The 19273-nt window shown below is 39.3% G+C and overlaps 1 protein-coding gene across 27 annotated transcripts in view; it reads left to right on the top strand.

Moving 5' to 3' along the window:
- Positions 1 to 19273, top strand: part of TFDP2 (transcription factor Dp-2) — a 205117-nt gene that overhangs the window by 160120 nt on the left and 25724 nt on the right. For 16 of the 27 annotated variants that reach the window (NM_001375780.1, XM_017007100.3, NM_001178139.2 and 13 more), the window contains 2 exons: positions 10743 to 10905; positions 15234 to 15377. In NM_001375780.1, the coding sequence (NP_001362709.1) occupies positions 10743 to 10905; positions 15234 to 15377 (307 nt within the window). Of the gene's footprint in view, positions 1 to 10742; positions 10906 to 15230; positions 15378 to 19273 lie in introns of all 27 variants that reach the window. The other 11 variants (XM_011513107.3, NM_001375773.1, NM_001375776.1 and 8 more) reach the window with 1 other exon arrangement.

Raw genomic sequence — 19273 nt, 5'->3', positions numbered from 1 at the left:
ATACTGGCATTTGTATTTGTGGGAAGAGAGAGAGACCAGACTGGCTGCCTGCTTGTCTGCTTAGCAGCAAATACAACCTGAAGTTAAGCTTGTTGCCAGCATGGCCCACTCACATCCAGAGAAGTTGTGGTTAGCCCTCCACAAGTGGGGGAACCTTCTTAGGAAAACAAGCGTGCATACAAGAAGCTCATGTAAACTCTATATATTGAAAACTTGAATCCAACATTCGTGAACATGAAAGAACAGGACATTTTTGGAAAACTATGATGAAAGAAAAGGAACAAGATGAATAAACAAAAGTTATGACCCAAGAGGATGTAAGATAAAAAAGAACAATAAAATAAAGTTGTAATTATCACCCTTTGAGAGGTCTGAAGGTTCCTGAGAAGAGATAATATTCATGAAAGAAAAAGAAGATCCTATGGAAAAGAAGCAAAGAAGAAAAACATTCTATGAAGTTTAAAACATGATTGCCAGCCGGGCGTGTTGGCTCAGGCCTGTAATCCCAGCACTTTGGGAGGCTGAGGCAGGCGGATCAGTTCGAGACCATCCTGGCCCACATGGTGAAACCCTGTCTCTACTAAGAATACAAAATATAGCTGGGCATGGTGGCGCGTGCCTGTAACTACTCGGGAGGCTGAGGCAGGAGAATCGCTTGAACCTGGGAGGCAGAGGTTGCAGTGAGCTGAGATTGCACCACTGCACTCCAGCCTGACGACAGAGTGAGACTCCATCTCAAAAAAAAAAAAAAAAAAGAAAAGAAAAGATTGCTAAAAACAGTTCTTCAAGATATTAAAACATGAAAACAGAATTTTTATTTTAATGAAATAACTTGGCAGCAGTCTAGTGTTGCTGCAGAGAATAGCTGGGATTGTGTTATTTGAAGATACCAGAAATCTACTGAGGCAGGAGAACTAGAGGGGCTAAAACTAGATCAGGAAGAACCTCAGAAAGTTGAGGGACTTCCACAGTAGCTTTTAGATATGGGGTAGTTTGCTGTTTGTGGGCAGGAGGCTGAGAATCTAGGATTTTGTACAAAATAAAGGAGAAAAATGTTATGATCAGTTGGTACAGAAAAAAGCACATGACTTGATTAAACTCTACTCATTATGGTAAGTGGCAAACTAGTAATAGAAGGGAACTTAGTATGTTAAAGACAATTGGCAAAAACCAACAGCAGGCCAGGCACGGTGGCTCACGCCTGGCATCCCAGCACTTTGGGAGGCCAACCCAGGCGATTCTCTTGCGCCCAAGAATTCGAGACTAGCCTGAGCAACATGGCAAAACACCATCTCTAGAAAAAATACAAAACTTAGCCAGGCATGGTGGTATACTCCTGTAGTCCCAGCTATTTGGGAAGCTGAGGCAGGAGGATCGCTGAGTATAGGAGGTCAAGGCTGCAATGAGCCAAGATCAGGCCCCTGCACTCCAGCCTGGGTGACAGAATGAGAAGAATGTCATTTTCTTTTTCTTTTCTTTTTTTTTTGAGGCAGGGTCTTGCTCTGTCGTCCAGGCTGGAGTGCAGTGGCACAATCTCAGCCCACTGCAACCACTGCCTCCTGAGTTTAAGCGATTCTCCTGCCTCAGCCTTCGGAGTAGCTGGGATTACAGGCACCTGCCATCATGCCCGGCTAATTTTTTTTTTTTTTTTCTATTTTTAGTAGAGACTGGATTTCACCATGTTGGCCAGGCTGGTCTTGAACTCCTGACCTCAAGTGATCCACCCACCTCGGCCTCCCAAAGTGCTGGGATTACAGGCATGAACCACCGCACCCGGCCGAGAAGAATGTCTTTAAAACACACACACATGCACGCACGCATACACACACACACACACACACACGCCAGGCGCAGTGGCTCATGCCTGTAATCCCAACACTTTGGGAGGCTAAGTTGGGTGGATCGCCTGAGCTCAGGAGTTCGACACCAGCCTGGGCAACATGGTGAAACCCAGTCTCTACTAAAAATACAAAACATTAGCTGGGCGTGGCAGGATGCACCTGTAGTCCCAGCTACTCAGGAGGCTGAGGCAGGAGAATTGCCTGAACCTGGAGGCAGAGGCTGCAGTGAGCAGAGATCACACCACTGTACTGCAGCCTGGGTGACAGAGTGAGACTCTGGCTAAAACACACACACACACACACACACACACACACACAAATCTGACAGCAAACATTACATTTAGTAGTGAATAAAAAGCTTTCAACTTGGCATAAGAAACAAGGAGAATCCCTAGTTAATCACCACCTCTATTCAGTATTGTAGTGGAAATTCTTGCTAGTGCAGTAAGCCAAGAAACAAAATGGAAAGCCTTAATAAAAGAATTGTAAATGAAGAAATAAAATGGCACTATTTGCAGATGATGTGATTGTATACCAAGAAAAAACAAAAGAATCTACAGACAATTTATGAGAAAAATGAATTTAGCAAGGTTGCTGGATATAAGGGCATATAAAAATGAACAGAATTTTTTTATTCTAGCAAAAAATACAAACGGGCCAGTAAACATGAAAAAGTGCTTATCAGCATTAATCATTAGAAAAATGCAAATGAAAACCACAGTGCAATACCACTTTACATCCATCAGAATGGCTACAATGAAAAGGATAGACAGTGCTAAGTTTGGCAAGGATATGAAGCATCTAGAATGCTCATACACTGCTGGTGGCAGGAAAAACTGGTACAGTCATTTTGGGAGTTAGCAGTGTCTGCTGAAGTTGAATGTACACATACCCGTAACTCATCAATTCTGTTCCTTGTGTATGCTCAACAGAAATTTGTGCACACATTCACCAAAAACATGTACAAGAAAGTTTATAGAAACACTATTAGCCTTCAACTAGAAACAAACCAAATGCCCATCTGCAGAATGGATGAATGAATTGCAATGTATTCATACAATGAAATGAATGAAATACAGTCACATGAAAAGTGTGAATGAATCTCTCAAATAGTGTTGTCAGATACAAAAGGGTACATACTATATGATTTTAATTTAAAGTTCAAAATAGGGAAAACTATAATAGAAGTCATGGTAACAGATATTCTTGAGGTGTTGGGTTTGGGTGGAACTGTAACTAGAAGGAGACACTTAACACAGTTGGTTTGCGTACTTTTCTTTATGTGTTATGTACGTCAATGAAAATTTGCATTTAAAAACTCAGGAAGAAGTTAAACACTGTAGCCAGGTAACTCTCAACTTGTAGGCTGTAAGTCACTAGACGATGGGACAGGACTACATAAGAAGAAAAGGAAAGCTTTCTTCCTCATGTTGTGGGCTCCTGTGGTGTATTCCTAGCCATCTTTTATAGACTAAGCTCAGACTAAGGAGTGGAATTGCTGGGTCATACAGTTACTCTTTGTTTAGCCCTTTTGAGTATGGCTAGACTGTTTTCCAAAGTGGCTGTACCGTTTTACATTCCCATAAACAATGTATGAGTATTCCAGTTTCTCCACGTTTTTGCTAACACTTCTTGTGAAATGGTACCTCATTAATAAAAATTAACTCAAAGCATTTTGATTTGCATTCCTTGTATATTCTAGATGGAAATCCCTTATTAAATACATGATTTGCAGAGTTTTTCTCCAATCTGTGAATTGACCTTTCATTCTTAATGGTGTCTTTTGAGGCACAAATGTTTTTAATTTTGATGTTTAATTAACTTATTTTTTTCTTGTGTTACTTATGCTTTTGTGTCATATATCTAAAACATCTTTGCCTAATCCAAGGTCACAAAGACTTAACACCTACGTTTTCTTCTAAGAGTTTGATAGGTTTAGCTCTTACATTTAGGTCTTTGCTTTGAGTTAATTTTTATTAAGGTTAATTTGTCAAATGTAACCCAGAAGCATATAGAAAATCTATGAAGAAAAAATAGGTGTTTTTTTTTTTTTTTTTTTTTTTTGAGACAGCGTCTTGCTCTGTCTCCCAGGCTGGAGTGCAGTGGCGCAGTCATGGCTCACTACAGCCTTGACCTCCTAGGCACAAGCAATCCTCCTGCCTCAGCCTCCTGAGTAGCTGGCATATATCACCACACCTGACTAATTTTTACATTTTTTGTAGAGATGAGGTCTCACTATGTTGCCCAGCCTGGTCTTGAAATGCTGGGCTCAGGCGATCTGCCTGCCTCGGCCTCCTAAAGTGCTAGGATTATAGACTTGAGCCACTGTGCTTGGCCAAAATAGGGATTTTTGACATTTATTTTTATAACATTTTTACAGTTATTTTAATTTTTCAAACAAGCCTGGGTTTATTATTTAAAATTATCAGCTAAATTAGAAAAGTAAACTTTTATTTTAATCCTCATTTTCTAATGGTGAGATAAGCATCCTGAACTATTTTTTTCAAGAAAAGGCATACCTATTCTGAAGGTGGCAGCAGTAGTAGTTAACCAGATGTGACAATGGAAGTAACTTAAAGAATGAAGAACAGGCTACTCTGGGCACGTTGCCTATGGGGTAGTCCTGCTCCACAAGGAGCAATGTAAAAAAAAAGAAGAAGAACAGTAAAATGAATACAATAGAGTTTGTATTAGTTTTGCTCAGAAACATGACCCCCTCTCATATTGAATTTGGTTTTGTAGCCATAATTGATGATGAAATACATAATACATAAACTACAGCATCTTATTTGCAGAAATACACTGGCTAATAAAGCCATGAAATCATCAAAACTTAAGCATCAAAGACAACAAAACATAAGTCAGTTCAAAACCAAAAGAACCATGGAGAAATAATAAATTGTTGGGCAACTATCACCACTATCCATCTTGAGAACTTTTTCATCATCCCATATTGAAACTCTGTCCCCATGAAGCAACAACACTACATTTACCACTCCCCCACAATCCCTCTGTTCTACTTTCTATGATTTTGACTATAATTTGATTTCATATAAGTGGAATCATACAATATCTTTTTATTTTTTTTTTGAGACGGAGTTTCGCTCTGTCGCCAGGCGTGTACGGTGGCGTGATCTCGGCTCACTAAAACCTCTGCCTCCTGGGTTCAAGCAGTTCTTCTGCCTCAGCCTCCCAAGTAGCTGAGACTACAGGCACGCGCCACCACACCAGCTAATTTTTGTATTTTTAGTAAACGGGGTTTCACCACGTTGGCCAGGATGGTCTTGATCTCTTGACCTCATGATCCGCCTACCTCGGCCTCCCAAAGTGCTGGGATTACAGGTGTGAGCCACCACACCCAACCCAATATTTATCTTTTTATGTCTGGCTTATGTCACTTATGTCTTCACAGTTCATCTGTAGTGTAGTATGTATCAGAATTTTATTCCTTTTTAAGGATGAATGTATTTCATTATATGTATATACCACATTTTATCTGTTTATCCATTCATTGGTGGGCAGTTGGGTTGCTTCCACATTTTACCTATTGTGAATAATGGTGCTATGAGCATGGGTGTACAAATATCTGTTGTTCCTGCTTTCAGATTCATCTGGGTGTATACCCAAAAGTGAAATTACTGGATCATATGGTAATTCTATGTTTACTTTTTTTGAGAAATTGCCATATTGTTTTCCACAGTGGCTGTATCATTTTATATTTCCACCAGCAGTGCATAATGGGTGCAGTTTCTCTACATCCTCTCCAACACTTTCTCGTTTTCAGTTTTTGTTTTTTTAATAGCCATTCTAATGGGTATGTAGTGGCATCTCATTATGGTTTTGATTTATATTTCTCTAATGATGAGTGACGTTGAGCATCTTTTCATGTACTTTTTGGCTATTTGTATATCTTCTTTGGATAAATGACTATTAAGTCTTTTGCCCTTTTTTTTTTTTTTTCTTGAGACATTCTCACTCCCAGGCTGGCGTGTGATGGCGTGAACTGCAACCTTTGCCTCCCAGGTTCAAGTGATTCTCATGCCTCAGCCTCCCAAGTAGCTAGGATTACAGATGTGTACCACCACGTCCAGCTAATTTTTGTATTTTTTTGTGGAGATGGAGTTTCACCATGTTGGCCAGGCTGGTCTCTAACTCCTGACCTCAAGTGATCCACTTGCCTTGGCCTCCCAAAGTGCTGGGATTACAGGCACGAGCCACTGCACCTGGCCCTTTGCCCATTTTTGAATTGAGTTGTTTCGTTTTTTGTTGTAATTCTTTATATAGCCTTTTGCCTTTTAGTGTTCTTTAACTAGAGACATTTTTTGCTTAACTTTCAAAGTGGCTTACTGGATTGGTTGCAGGACCAAATCTCTCATCTGTGTATGGCAGGTGTTGACTCTTTTAACCTCCTTTGTTGAATTTTAATGTTGATGTTAATTGAGTTTTGGCATGATATTCTATTAACCTTCCAAATAATAAGCTTAATTTCTTGATCCAGCCATTGTTGAATAGTGCCCTTTGGTTTTATATTGCTTATGAAAATTCTAGCAGCTCATGAAGGGGATAAGATCACTTGTAGTGTACCATATGTTATATGCATTTCATCCTCACAACTTGTGAGATGTGTATTCTGCATTTTTCAGATGAAGGACTGTGGATCAGAGTTAAATCGAGTAAACTGCTCAAAATATGTATCTGATAGTTTACTAATGTTGATATTTAACCAAGTTTTCTTCAAGTTTATTATCAATTTATGCACTGAACTGATTTTATAAAACTCTTACATGTAGGCTTGTATCTACATTTCAAGAGTATAGCCATCACTGTTTTATAATAGTTGTTAAAATTGTAGTTGTTCCTACTTAAGGACTATGTTTAGTTTCTTCCTTTAAATATTATCCAGGTATGACTACAAATATTATCCAGGTATGACTATAGAGAGCCAATTAGCTAAGTGATTGCCCGAAACCACCCTATCTTATTGCTGCCTTTAACAAAAAGACCAAGAATTGGATGAAAAACAACCCTGCTTCACTCTTGGCTTTTCAAAAGTATGTAACTGGCTGGCCTGAAGGTAGTGAGTTATCTCAATTGATGGTTCACAATCAGTTGAACACAGATCAAACTCCTTGTTCTACACTTTACCCCCTACTTGAGTAGGGGGTAAAGACTACTTGAGTAGTCTTTTAAAAAAAAAGAAGAAGAAAAAAGCATATAACCACTAAGTTGAGAAATTTATTTACTTTAAGCCATTAACCAGTTCTTTTCCTGGCTATATAATCCCATACACAACATTATTTCTGCCCAATAGAAATTTTAAAAGAAAATAAATATCTGAAGTTAATTTTAATATTTTTAATTTAGTCCAATATATCCAAAATATTGTATTTCAGTGTGTAATTAAATATAAAAATCACTAGTGAGGTATTTTACATTCATTCCTTATATTAAGTATTTAAAATCCAGTGTGTTAAACTTACGACATATCTCAATTCACACTTCCCACATTTCAAGTATTCAATAGCCACATGTGAGTTATGCCTAGGGGTATTGGACAGTGCTGATTAGGAGGTTTAAAATGCAACTCATAAATTTAATTCATCTCTTCGATCTCAGTAAATGACCCTTCTTTCTAGAGGTCATTCTACTATTCCTCTCTTCCTTACCCTCCACTTCAGACAATTTTATTGATTTTTTGTCTTTTAAAATTTTGTAAATCCATCTTTTTATCTCCTGCCCTACCACAGCTCCAGTTTGGGGATTCATATTCTCTTACCTGGACTATTGCAATACCCTCTCAGTTGGTCTTTGTGTCTCTGCTTTTGCCTCATAAATTTCACTTCTACTGTTACTAATTCTGATTCCAAAATCTGCTTTGCAGTGAGAATGTCTGCCTAACTGAAAATGTCACCATTCTACTCCACTACTTAATACCATTCAATATATTTTAGTGATTTCACATTATTTCAAATAAGTAGTCTGTGAGGTAAGATAAGTATGCTGTCCTATACTATCACAAGGGATGCATACACAACTCTTTGGGAATGTAGGGAAAGGAGAGTAGATATCCTTTTCTCATATTCCTTTTAAAACTGCATGTTTAGTATCTCTTTCTATGTACATAACATAGAACATGTAAATTATTTATCAGTAAATATATTCACAGTCCCACATCACTTAATGAGGGGCTATGTTCTGAGAAAGGCTTCATTAGGCGATTTCATCGTTGTGTGAACATCATCAATGTACTTACCCAAACCCAGGGTGGTATAGCCTGCTACACACTTAGGTACTTGGTATAGCCTATTGCCCCGAGGCTATAAACCTGCACAGCATGTTACTGGTTTGAATACTATAGGTCATTGTAACACAGTGATAAGTATTTGTGTATTTAAACATACCTAAACATAGAAAAAAGTAGAGTAAAAATACCTTGTAAAAGATTTTTTTTAATGATACACCTTTATAGTGCACTTTTCATGAATGGAGCTTGCAGGACTGGAAGTTGCTCTGGGTGAGTCAGTGAGTGGTGAGTGAATGTGAAGGCCTAGGAATTTACTGCACACTACTTTAGACTTTATAATCACTGTATACTTAGGCTACAGTAATTTATTTTAAAAAGATTTTTTTCTTCTTCAATAATAAGTTAACCTTAGCTTACTATAAATTTTTTACTTTATAAACTTTTTAATGTTCTCAAACTGTTTTACTCGTGTAGTAACACTTGACTTAAAACACAAACAATATTGGCCAGGAGCAGTGGTTCACATCTGTAATCCCAGCACTTTGGGAGGCCAAGGCGGATGGATCACTTGAGGTCAGGAGTTCGAGACCAGCCTGACCAACATGGTGAAACCCCATCTCTACTAAAACTACAAAAATTAGCCAGTCATGGGGGTAGGCGCCTGTAATGCCAGCTACTCGGGAGGCTGAAGCAGGAGAATCACTTGAACCCGGGTTTCTCAGTGAGCTGAGATCATACCACTGCACTCCAGCCTAGGGGATAGAGTGAGACTCTTTCTCAAAACAAACAAACAAAAAAAACACAAACATATTAATGGGTCCAAAAATACACTTAGATACAATGAATAATATCTAGTATTTGGTAGTACAATAGGTTGCTGTAGTTAACAACAATTGATTGTATATTTTAAGTAACTAGAGGAATGGAATTGGAATGTTCCTAATACAAAGAAACAATAAAGGCTTGAGATGACGGATACCCCAATTACCCTGATTAATCATTACACATTGTACAGCTGTACAAAAATATTTTCTTTATATCCTTATTCCATAAGCTTTTTTCTGTTTGTTTTTTAATTTCTAATTTTTTTTTTTTTTTTTTACTTTTGAAACTTTTTTGTTGAACACTGAGACGTGGCTGGGCAGGGTGGCTCACACTTATAACCCAACACTTTGGGAAGCTGAGATGGGAGGGATCACTTGAGGTCAGGAGTTCAAGAGCAGCCTGGGCAACATAATGAGACCCTGTCTCTACAAAAAAGAAATTAGCGAGGCATGGTGACATGCACCTGTAATTCTAACTACTTGGAAGGCTGAGGTGGAAGGATCACTTGAGCACAGGAGGTTTAGGCTGCAGTGAGCCATGACGGCACCACTGCACTCTAGCCCGGGCAACAGAGTGAGACCCTGAATCCAAAAAAAAAAACCCAAAAACAGAAAACTGAGACAGAGGGCCAGGCGCAGTGGCTCACGCCTGTAATCCCAGCACTTTGGGAGGCCGAGGCAGGCAGATCACCTGAGGTCAGGAGTTCTGGAACAGCCTGGCCAACATGATGAAACCCCGTCTCTACTAAAAGTACAAAAATTAGCCAGGTGTGGTGGTGCACACCTGTAATCCCAGCTACTCGGGAGGCTGAGGCAGGAGAATCGCTTGAACCTGGGAGGCGGAGGTTGCAGTGAGCTGAGATCACACCACTGCACTCCAGCCTAGGGGATAGAGCGAAACTCTCTCTCCAAAAAAGGAAACTGAGACACACTATCCTAGGCCTACAGGGGGGTCAAGATCATCAATATCACTGTCCTCCACCTCCACATTTTGTCCTACTGGAAGGTCTTCAGGGGCAGTAACACACATGGAGCTGTCATTTCCTGTGATAACAATGCGTTCTTCTGGATACCTCCTGAAGGATTGCCTGAGGCTTTTTACAGTTAACTTTAATTTATAATTTGAAGAAGTACGCTCTAAAGTAATGATGAAAAGTATAGTTTAGTAAATACAGAAACCAGTAACATAGTCATTTATTATCATTATCAAGTATTATGTACTGTCCATAATTGCATGTGCTAGACTTTTATAGGACTGGCAGAGCAGTAGGTTTGTTTGCCAGCATCACCACAAACATGTGAGTAATGCATTATTACTCACATTAACCATTACGATGGTTACATCACTAGGCAATGAGAATTTTTCAGCTCCATTGTAATCTTATTGGACTACTGTTGTATATGCGGCCCATCATTGACTGAAATGTCCTTATGTGGCAAATGACTATAGTTTTAATTTCAGTAAAAAACTATAATCTACATAGAGTAGGAAAAGATAAGTCTGTTAGCTGTACAAGGGCAGAGTTTTTGTGTTTTTTCACTGACTTATTCTCAGTGTCAATAACAGTATCCGGCATAGAATAGTAACTGGTCAATAAATATTTGTTGAATAAATAAATGCTGTGCATAGAAAAACACTCTAACTTTATACTTTATTAGACCTTTAAGGCAAAAAGTAAGTTTAAATAAACATTTTCTCATCTCTATTCAATTTAAATTTTTGACACTTGAAGTAAAACTTAAATTACTGTCTTCTTGCATTATCTTACAGAGATTTGTAAAGAAAGTCTCTAATATGTATAATGGAGTAAAAAAAACTTTTTTCCCTTCTAGTAAACGAAGCAAAAAAGGAGATAAAAATGGGAAAGGCTTGAGACACTTTTCAATGAAAGTGTGTGAGAAAGTTCAACGAAAAGGTACAACATCGTACAATGAAGTCGCTGATGAGCTGGTGTCAGAGTTCACCAATTCAAATAACCATTTGGCTGCTGATTCGGTATGTAAATCATGAACCTGACATTGATTTTGATGGATGATGCTACTTCTTTGTGTTATCTTTGTTATAGATTTGAGGAATCACGACTATACTTGAGGGTTTTATCCTTTATTTTGGGGGATTTTTTGTTGTTGTTGAGTTTTATTTTGGAGGGAATTCCTTTTTTTTTGTTTTTTAGGCGGAACCTCACTCTGTCGCCCAGGCTGGAGTTCAGTGGCGCGATCTCGGCTCACTGCAACCTCTGCCTCCCAGGTTCAAGCTATTCTTGTGACTCAGCCTCCCGCGTAGCTGGGATTACAGGCGCACACCACCATTCCCAGCCAATTTTTGTATTTTTAGTAGAGACAGTGTTTCACCATGTTGGCCAGGCTGGTCTCAAACTCCTGACCTCAGGTGATCCACCTGCCTTGGCCTTCCAAAGTGCTGGGATTACAGGCGTGAGCCACTGTACCCAGCCTTAGTTGTTTTTTTTGTTTTTTTTTGTTTTTTTTTAACATTTAAAAAATATTTGGCCAGGCGCGGTGGCTCACGCCTGTAATCCCAGCACTTTGGGAGTCTGAGGTGGGTGGATCATGAGGTCAGGAGATCGAGACCATCCTGGCTAACACTGTGAAACCCTGTCTCTACTAAAAATACAAAAAATTAGCCAGGCATGGTGGCATGTGCCTGTAATCCCAGCTACTCAGGAGGCTGAGGCAGGAGAATTGCTTGAACCTGGGAGGCGGAGGTTGCAGTAAGCCAAGATCGCACCACTGTACTCCAGCCTGGGCGACAGAGTGAGACTCCGTCTCAAAAAGAAAAAAAAAATTGGTCGCCTATCCAATAATTTTTTATTGTTTCTGAATCTTATTGTTTCTTCAATGTCTAAGTCAACAAGAAAATTTTATTTTTAATTGGAAAAGGAATACATAAATATGTTTATAAAAAATTCAGTTGTCTGGCAGAGTCTCAAATAAATGGAATACAGTGGTGCAGTTTCGGCTCAATGAAACCTCTACTTCCCAGGTTCAAGTGATGCTTGTGCCTCAGCATCCTGAGTAGCTGGGACCAAAAATGGCAAGGCTCTGCCTCTACAGAAAAAAAATTTATTTCTTTATCTTTTTTTTTTTTTTTTGATATGAGGTCTCACTATGTTGCCCAGGCTGATTTTGAACTCCTTGACTCAAGTGATCCTCCAGCCTCAGCCTCCCAAAGTGCTGGGATTACAGGCATGAGCCACCATGCCTGACCTCTACAAAAAGTTTTTTTTTTTAAATTAGCGAGGTGCAGTGGCACAAACCTGTAGTCCCAGCTACTCCAGAGGCTGAGGAGGATTGCTTGAGCCCAGGAATTCAATCATGCCACTGCATTCCAGCCTGGGCGGCAAAGCAAGACTTCGTCTCTTTGGGGGGAAAAAAAAAAAAAAAAAAAAAATATATATATATATATATGGCTATGACTGTTTCTCTAGAGCACTGATTTAGCCCTATCCTATTGATTCTGATATATTATTCTTTAGATGTTCTTTAATTTTGGTTTTAATTTGTTCTTTGACCTAAGGATTGCCTTAGAAAGAGTTCTTATAGTTCCAAGTTTTGTTTGTTGCTTTAAAGTTTTACTTTTATTACTTAATTTGTCCAGAGAATATGATTTGAACTATTTCCCTTTTTTTTTTGGATTACATTGAGATTTTCCTTGGGAGCCATTATATGTGATTTTCTTTTTCTTTTCATGTTCTCTAGGCACTTGAAAAAAAAAGTCTATAGCATTCTGTTTCTGAGTGAAAGCCATGGTTCTCACAATGATCTGCAAGCCCCTTTGTGAGCTTGCCCACCATTACCTCACTAATCTCGTCTTCTGCTATGCACTGTCTCATTTACTACCCTCCAGCCACATGTCACTATGCTCCAGCTACATGTTTTGTCCCTGATCAGGCCATTACACTGCTTTGCCTAGAGCAGTCTTTGCTAGGTATTCATATGGCTTCTCTCTCCCTGCCTTGTGATCTTCACTCACCTGTCACCACAATGAAGCATTTCTTCTTAGCACTTTTCAATATCTAAAATACATTTTTACTAATACCCTATCACCACCACCTTCCCAGGATATAAACAAAGGTTGAGTTTTTTTCTCTTTATTCACTGCTTTGTTATTTTTCTGATAATTTAGAATGCTTGTAGTCTCAGTTCTTCAGTTGGTTACCTTTATAACTTAAGTTCCTTGAGTTACCACCTGTAGACAGTATCTATTGGTTATGAAGAAAAACATATGTTTTTTTCTGTCTTCCATTTTTCTCTTCTACCATGGGACTCAGATTAGATATATTAGTATATTTGTTAAAAAGAATAATACTACTACTATAGGCCGGGTGCAGTGGCTCACGCCTATAATCCCAGCACTTTGGGAGGCCGAGGTGGACGGATCACACTGTCAGGAGTTGGAGACCAGCCTGGCCAACATGATGAAACCCTGTCTGTACTAAAAATACAAAAATTAGCTGGGTGTGGTGGTGGGCGCCTGTAATCCCAACTACTCGGGAGGCTGAGGCTGGAGAATCACTGGAACCCAGAAGGTGGAGGTTGCAGTGAGCTGAGATCTCACCACTGCACTCCAGCCTGGGCAACAGAGCAAGACTCTGTCTCGGAAAAATAGTTGTTTTTATTACTTTAAATAAATAGATTGTGCTGAACCCTTTATTATTATTTAATCTGCTTTGAACAACATCCATATCCCTTCCAATATCAAAAAGAGGAAATTGGCATACCTATCACATTGCCTCCTCCCAGTACTTGTTGTTACAGTATCATTGTTTCTACAGGGTCAAGATTTCTTTTTTTTTTTTTTTTTGAGACAGAGTCTAGCTCTGTCACCCAGACTGGAGTGCAGTGGCTCAATCTTGGCTCACTGCAACCTCCATCTCCCGGATTCAAGCGATTTTCCTGCCTCATCCTCCTGAGTAGCTGGCATTACAGTCATGCGCCACCACGCCCAGTTAAGTTTTGTATTTTTTAGTAGAGATGGGGTTTTGCCATGTTGGCCAGGCTGGTCTTGAACTCCTGACCTCAGGTGATCCGCCCACCTTGGCCTCTCAAAGTGGTGGGATTACAGGCATGAGCCACCACTCCTGGCCCATTGTCAAGATTTCTAGTATTTACATTCAGTTCTATAACTTAAATCCCCCACTTATTTAGATCTAGTTTTATATTTAGGTGGATTCAGTGTTCTCCACCATCCTTTATTATCGTTGCATTTCCTGAGGACCTTGTTCCACAATGTAAACCAACATGGTTTCCTTGATTAAGTCTTACTATCAAAAAATAGAAGAAAAAGGCCGGGCATGGTGGCTCACACCTGTAATCCTAGCACTTTGGGAGGTCGAGGCAGGCAGATCATGAGGTCAGGAGTTCAAGATCAGCCTGGCCAATATGGTGAAACCCCGTCTCTACTAAAAATAGAAAAATTAGCTGGGCGTGGTGATGTGCATCTATAGTGCCAGCTACTTGGGAGGCTGAGGCAGAAGAATCGCTTGAACCCGGGAGGTGGAGGTTGCAGTGAGCTGAGATTGCGCCACTGCACTCCAGTGTGGGCGAGAGAGCGAGACACTGTCTCAAAAAAAAAAAAAAAAAAAAAAAAGAAGAAGAAGAAAAATGGTCAGCTGAACTGAACAGTGTCCCTTGTCATATAGAGGATTATATTTTGGTACAAGTTCCTAGTCCCATTGTAGATTGGAGACAGTTTGCAGATCAGCAGTGGTCAAGGAACACATTTTGAGAAGCACAGTTTTACCCAGAACTTGAATAAATGTCCTTGATTTTTTTAAGTCTAAAATCCTCCCAGATAATGCAAGGGCTTAGAACACTTTACCTCCAATACCTTTTTCTGTTAATATGTATACTATTTGTTGTCATGTATATTAAGTTCTGTATTCTAGACTCCATAAGGCATTATTATTGTTTTATACAGTGAAAATTGAGATTTACCCACATATTTACTTTTTTGGGTTGGTCTTCATTCTATCCTACATACCTAAGCTCCCATCTTAGATGATATTTCTTCTACCTGAAGAAATCCCTTTAGTATATTTCAGTGTAGATCTGCAGGTAACATGATCTTTATTTTTAAGATTATTTTGTTTTATATTGTTTGAAAGTATTTTTATTTCATCTTTAATTTTGAAGGATATTTTCTCGGAATATAGAATTCTTTTGGATGTTTTTGTCAGTTGGCTAAATAAAAAAATAGAATCCTTCCAGCACTTTGAAGTTGTAATATTAATTTGATATATTCATATCATGTGACTGTATCTTAACCCTTAAGATTTATCACTCAGTGAAAATATTTTTTAGCAGGCTTATGATCAGAAGAACATTAGGCGAAGAGTTTATGATGCTTTAAATGTGCTAATGGCAATGAACATAATTTCAAAGGAAAAAAAAGAAATCAAGTGGATTGGCCTGCCTACCAATTCTGCTCAGGAATGTCAGAATCTGGAGGTAAGTGAGAAAATCTGTTTATGAATAGCTGTTTGCATTATTTTACATCACAGGCATTTTAATTTAAAAATGTAATTCTAATATAAAATATTTCCAATTTTTCATGTATACCATGTCATTTTTTAACAGACTGTAGAATTTTAGAATTGGAAGGCGCCTTATAGGTATAGTCTGCAGTTTAATTTGCAAATGATGAAACTGAGGGATATAAAAGTTGAATAACAATTTGATTTTACTGTTTCTTAGAGAAGATTTTTATTTCATCCTAAGTTAATTCTGAGCACTCTACTAATAAACTTTTGGTGAAATGGTATCTTATTTGATGAGATGCTTGCTGTATGTATCCAAAAAAAAAAAAAAAAAAGGATCAAGCCGGCTGTTTATTTCCTTTATTGGTTACACAATATTCTGAATATAGCTGTGGAAGTCAGACTTTTACTTTGAAATAGTAGCAACAGAATGAATAGTGTTTCATTTGTGTCTTTACCAGAATGGATAGAATTTTGGAATGATGTATGCAGAAGCATTTTAAGTTCTGTTAACTTTAAGCATTATAGAAAACTCTTCCTAAATGAGCATGTTCCCTGACATACTGTTTCTAAATTGACTTGACATAATTTTACTATCATGGCCATAAATGGAGTAAACTGAGGTTAAATATGGCTTCTGGGCCAGGGGCGGTGGCTCACGCCTGTAATCCCAGCACTTTGGGAGGCCGAGGTGGGTGTCAAAATGGTAAAACCCCGTCTCTACTAAAAATACAAAAATTAGCCAGTGGCAGACGCCTGTAATCCCAGCTACTTGGAAAGCTGAGGCAGGAGAATCGCTTGAACCTGGGAGGCAGAGGTTACAGTGAACCGAGATGGTGCCATTGCACTCCAGCCTAGGCGACAAGAGCAAGACTCCATCTTTAAAAAAAAAAAATATATATATATATATATATATATATATATACACATAGCTTTGGGAGATAATTAAGATTGGTTTCCTGTTTTTCTCAGTCTTTTCTCCCCAGCAATTCAGTTATTTGGTATTATTATACTTATGGATGGAGAGAGAAACCAGATATTCATCAGAAGCTATATAATATTTTTCATATGCTACAGTGGAAATATCCTCCTTTTCTTGTTTTTCTTCCTTCTCATAGAGTGGAATTTGAGCATCATTTTCATGACCAGTAATATTGAGCTGATACCAAAGACTCATTAAGCAAAAAAACCCTATTCACATCTACCTTGTGCTTAATCACAGGTTATACAAGGCAAATCTCTGACCCCAAGGTACTGTCATTCTCACCGGGGAGAAGAGAAATGTAAAAGAGTTACCGAAAATGTGATTACTCCTAAGAAAGAAATGTACAGATTCTCTGCAAAGAGGGCTGAGGGAGGGCTTTACCAAGGAGATAATCCCAGAGCTCAGGCATGAGGTGGGAGTAGTCTGCCAAGTGGATAAGGGTGGGGAGGGCCTTCAAGGCAGAGGTGCCACATGGGCTGAGACAGGCATGAGAAAGCTTGCCTGGAGCTGGGTGTGGCTAGGGAACAGGCATGGAGAAAGGAGGATAGATATCTAAGTGTTAAGCAGTGGAGACCTGATCCTGTAAACAAAGGGAAGCAGTTGATAAATTACAAAGAGAAGGGTTGATAGGATGTTTTTTAAAGGATCACTCTGCCAGTGGGTTGGAAATAAAATTAACAGGTAGGGAAGGAAATGGAATGGGGGAGGCGGATTAGAGATGGTCTGAGTTACGGCAGCGGCCATGAGATTGGAGAGGTGTTTTAGAGGTACAATCAGTGCAGCTTGACCTGGTTGGATGAGGGACAGGTAAGGGGCCTGGCTTGTCAGAGCTTCTGATAAAGGGATGCTCCTACAACATCTTTTCAAATGCAGAACGCCACACAGATTTTACAGTGAATCTTAAGTAATTTAAAAGTAAAACGTGGTGGATAGAGGAACCATGAATGGAAACTGCTAGTATAGACTAGACTGGATGTGGAGCAAGTAAGAGATAATCTGCTGGAGCAGACAAGAAAAATGTCTTATTTGATGATTGAAAGACAAAATTGTAACAAATTTAGTTTAAAGATCTTAATTGCCTTTTATTTGTGATTCTAGAATCTGGCAACACCTCACTAGTAAGTAGAATGAGTATTCCTATAAGCTGAGCAGAAGAGGTTGAACATTCTTCAGTGTTTTAAAGATAGAGAAGCAGCAAAGGCGGATAGAGGCAGAAACAGAACAAAAAGCAGACTGGACATATCAATGTCACTTTCCTTGTAAGGGTAAAATAGAGAAGACTCTCTTATGCCAGCTGCAACTGGCCTGTTTGGGTAGTTTGCTATTCTCTTTCTCTCCTGATTTCCTAGGTCAGATAAACAACTCAGTTTTGGCCTGGTGGCATTTCAGCATGAGTGACTCCATTTTTGTTTGGTCTGTTGAGCTTAGTGCAGGAGCTCAGTCCAAACCAATGGGCTCCTATAAATTTTCTTTTTTTTTTTGTTGAGTTGGAGACTTGCTCTGTCACCCAGGCTGGAGTTCAGTGGCGCAATCTTCGGCTCACTGCAACCTCCGCCTCCCGGGTTCGAGCAATTCTCCTGCCTCAGCCTCCCGAGTAGCTGGGATTACAGGCGCCTGCCAACACGCCTGGCTAATTTTTTTTTTTTTTTTTTTTTTTTTAGTAGAGACGAGGTTTCACCTTATTGGCCAGGCTGGTCTCTTGGCCAGGCTGGTCTCGAACTCCTGACCTTGTGATCCGCCCACCTCGGCCTCCCAAAGTGCTGGGATTACAGGCTGAGCCACCGCGCCTGGCCATAACTTTTCTTAATAAATGTCATTGGCTTTTGCCCAAGGAGACAGTGAGGAACTCAACTGCAAGGAAGTTCAGACCCTAATGTCTGTTTTCTCTGAGTAGTTATCAGATTGAGAAAAAAAGCAGTAGTTTGAAGCTGGAAAATTTGTCCAATAAGCATGTTTCTTTTTTTTTTTTTCTTTTTGAGACAGGGTCTTGCTTTGTTGTCCAGGCTGGAGTGCAGTGGCATGATCTTGGCTCACTGCAATCTCTGCCTCCCAAGTTCAAGCAATTCTCGTGTCTCAGCCTCCCAATTAGCTGGGACTACAGATGCGCGCCACCACACCTGGCTTTTGTATTTTTTGTAGAGATAGGGTTTCGCCATGTTGGCCAGACTGGTCTCAAACTCCTGATCTCAAGTGATTCTCCCCCCTCGGCCTCCCAAAGTGTTGGGATTACAGGCGTGAGCCACCACACCCAGCCTACCATGATGTGTGAGATATCTGTATTATCAGCTGTCCTCATTGGAGAGTCAGCTAAGCTGGAATTGTAAATAAGATCTTGCCTTATTCTTAGAGGAGTAATATAACAAAGTAATTAATAATAGAGTCCCTGTAACCAGAGGATTTAGGTTCAAATCTTGGCTCTTGCCATTCACTAGCTGCGTGACCTTGGGTAGTTACTTAAGCCCTCTATGCCTCCGTTCCCTTCGATGCAAAGTGGATAACAACAGGACTTAACTCATAAGGTTTTTGTGAAGGTGAATTAAGATAATGTGTGTAAAATGCTTACTTTTGTGTTGGCAGATAGAGTGAGTATAAACTAAGTGGTACTATTACTTTGATTAGAACTTGAATAATAATTGCAACAAGTACTGCTAACAAGTATTCATTAAGTGTATGATTTCATTTTTAATGACAGTTGCCACAGATCTGATGTTGTGTCTACTTGTTCACTCCAGCCCCTGCCCCCTACAAAGATATGATTTGTCTTTATTCATATTGTTAAAATGGGTTCAGTTTCTCTAGGGAAAATTGTTATCTCAGAATAGGGACCTGGAAAGTGAACGATATTTTATAGTCTACCTATGTTCATATTATTTTGTAACCAA

The sequence above is a fragment of the Homo sapiens genome, chromosome 3, assembly GCF_000001405.40.
Source record: "Homo sapiens chromosome 3, GRCh38.p14 Primary Assembly".
NCBI lineage: Eukaryota > Metazoa > Chordata > Mammalia > Primates > Hominidae > Homo > Homo sapiens.
This window is presented reverse-complemented; position numbering and strand designations above follow the sequence as displayed.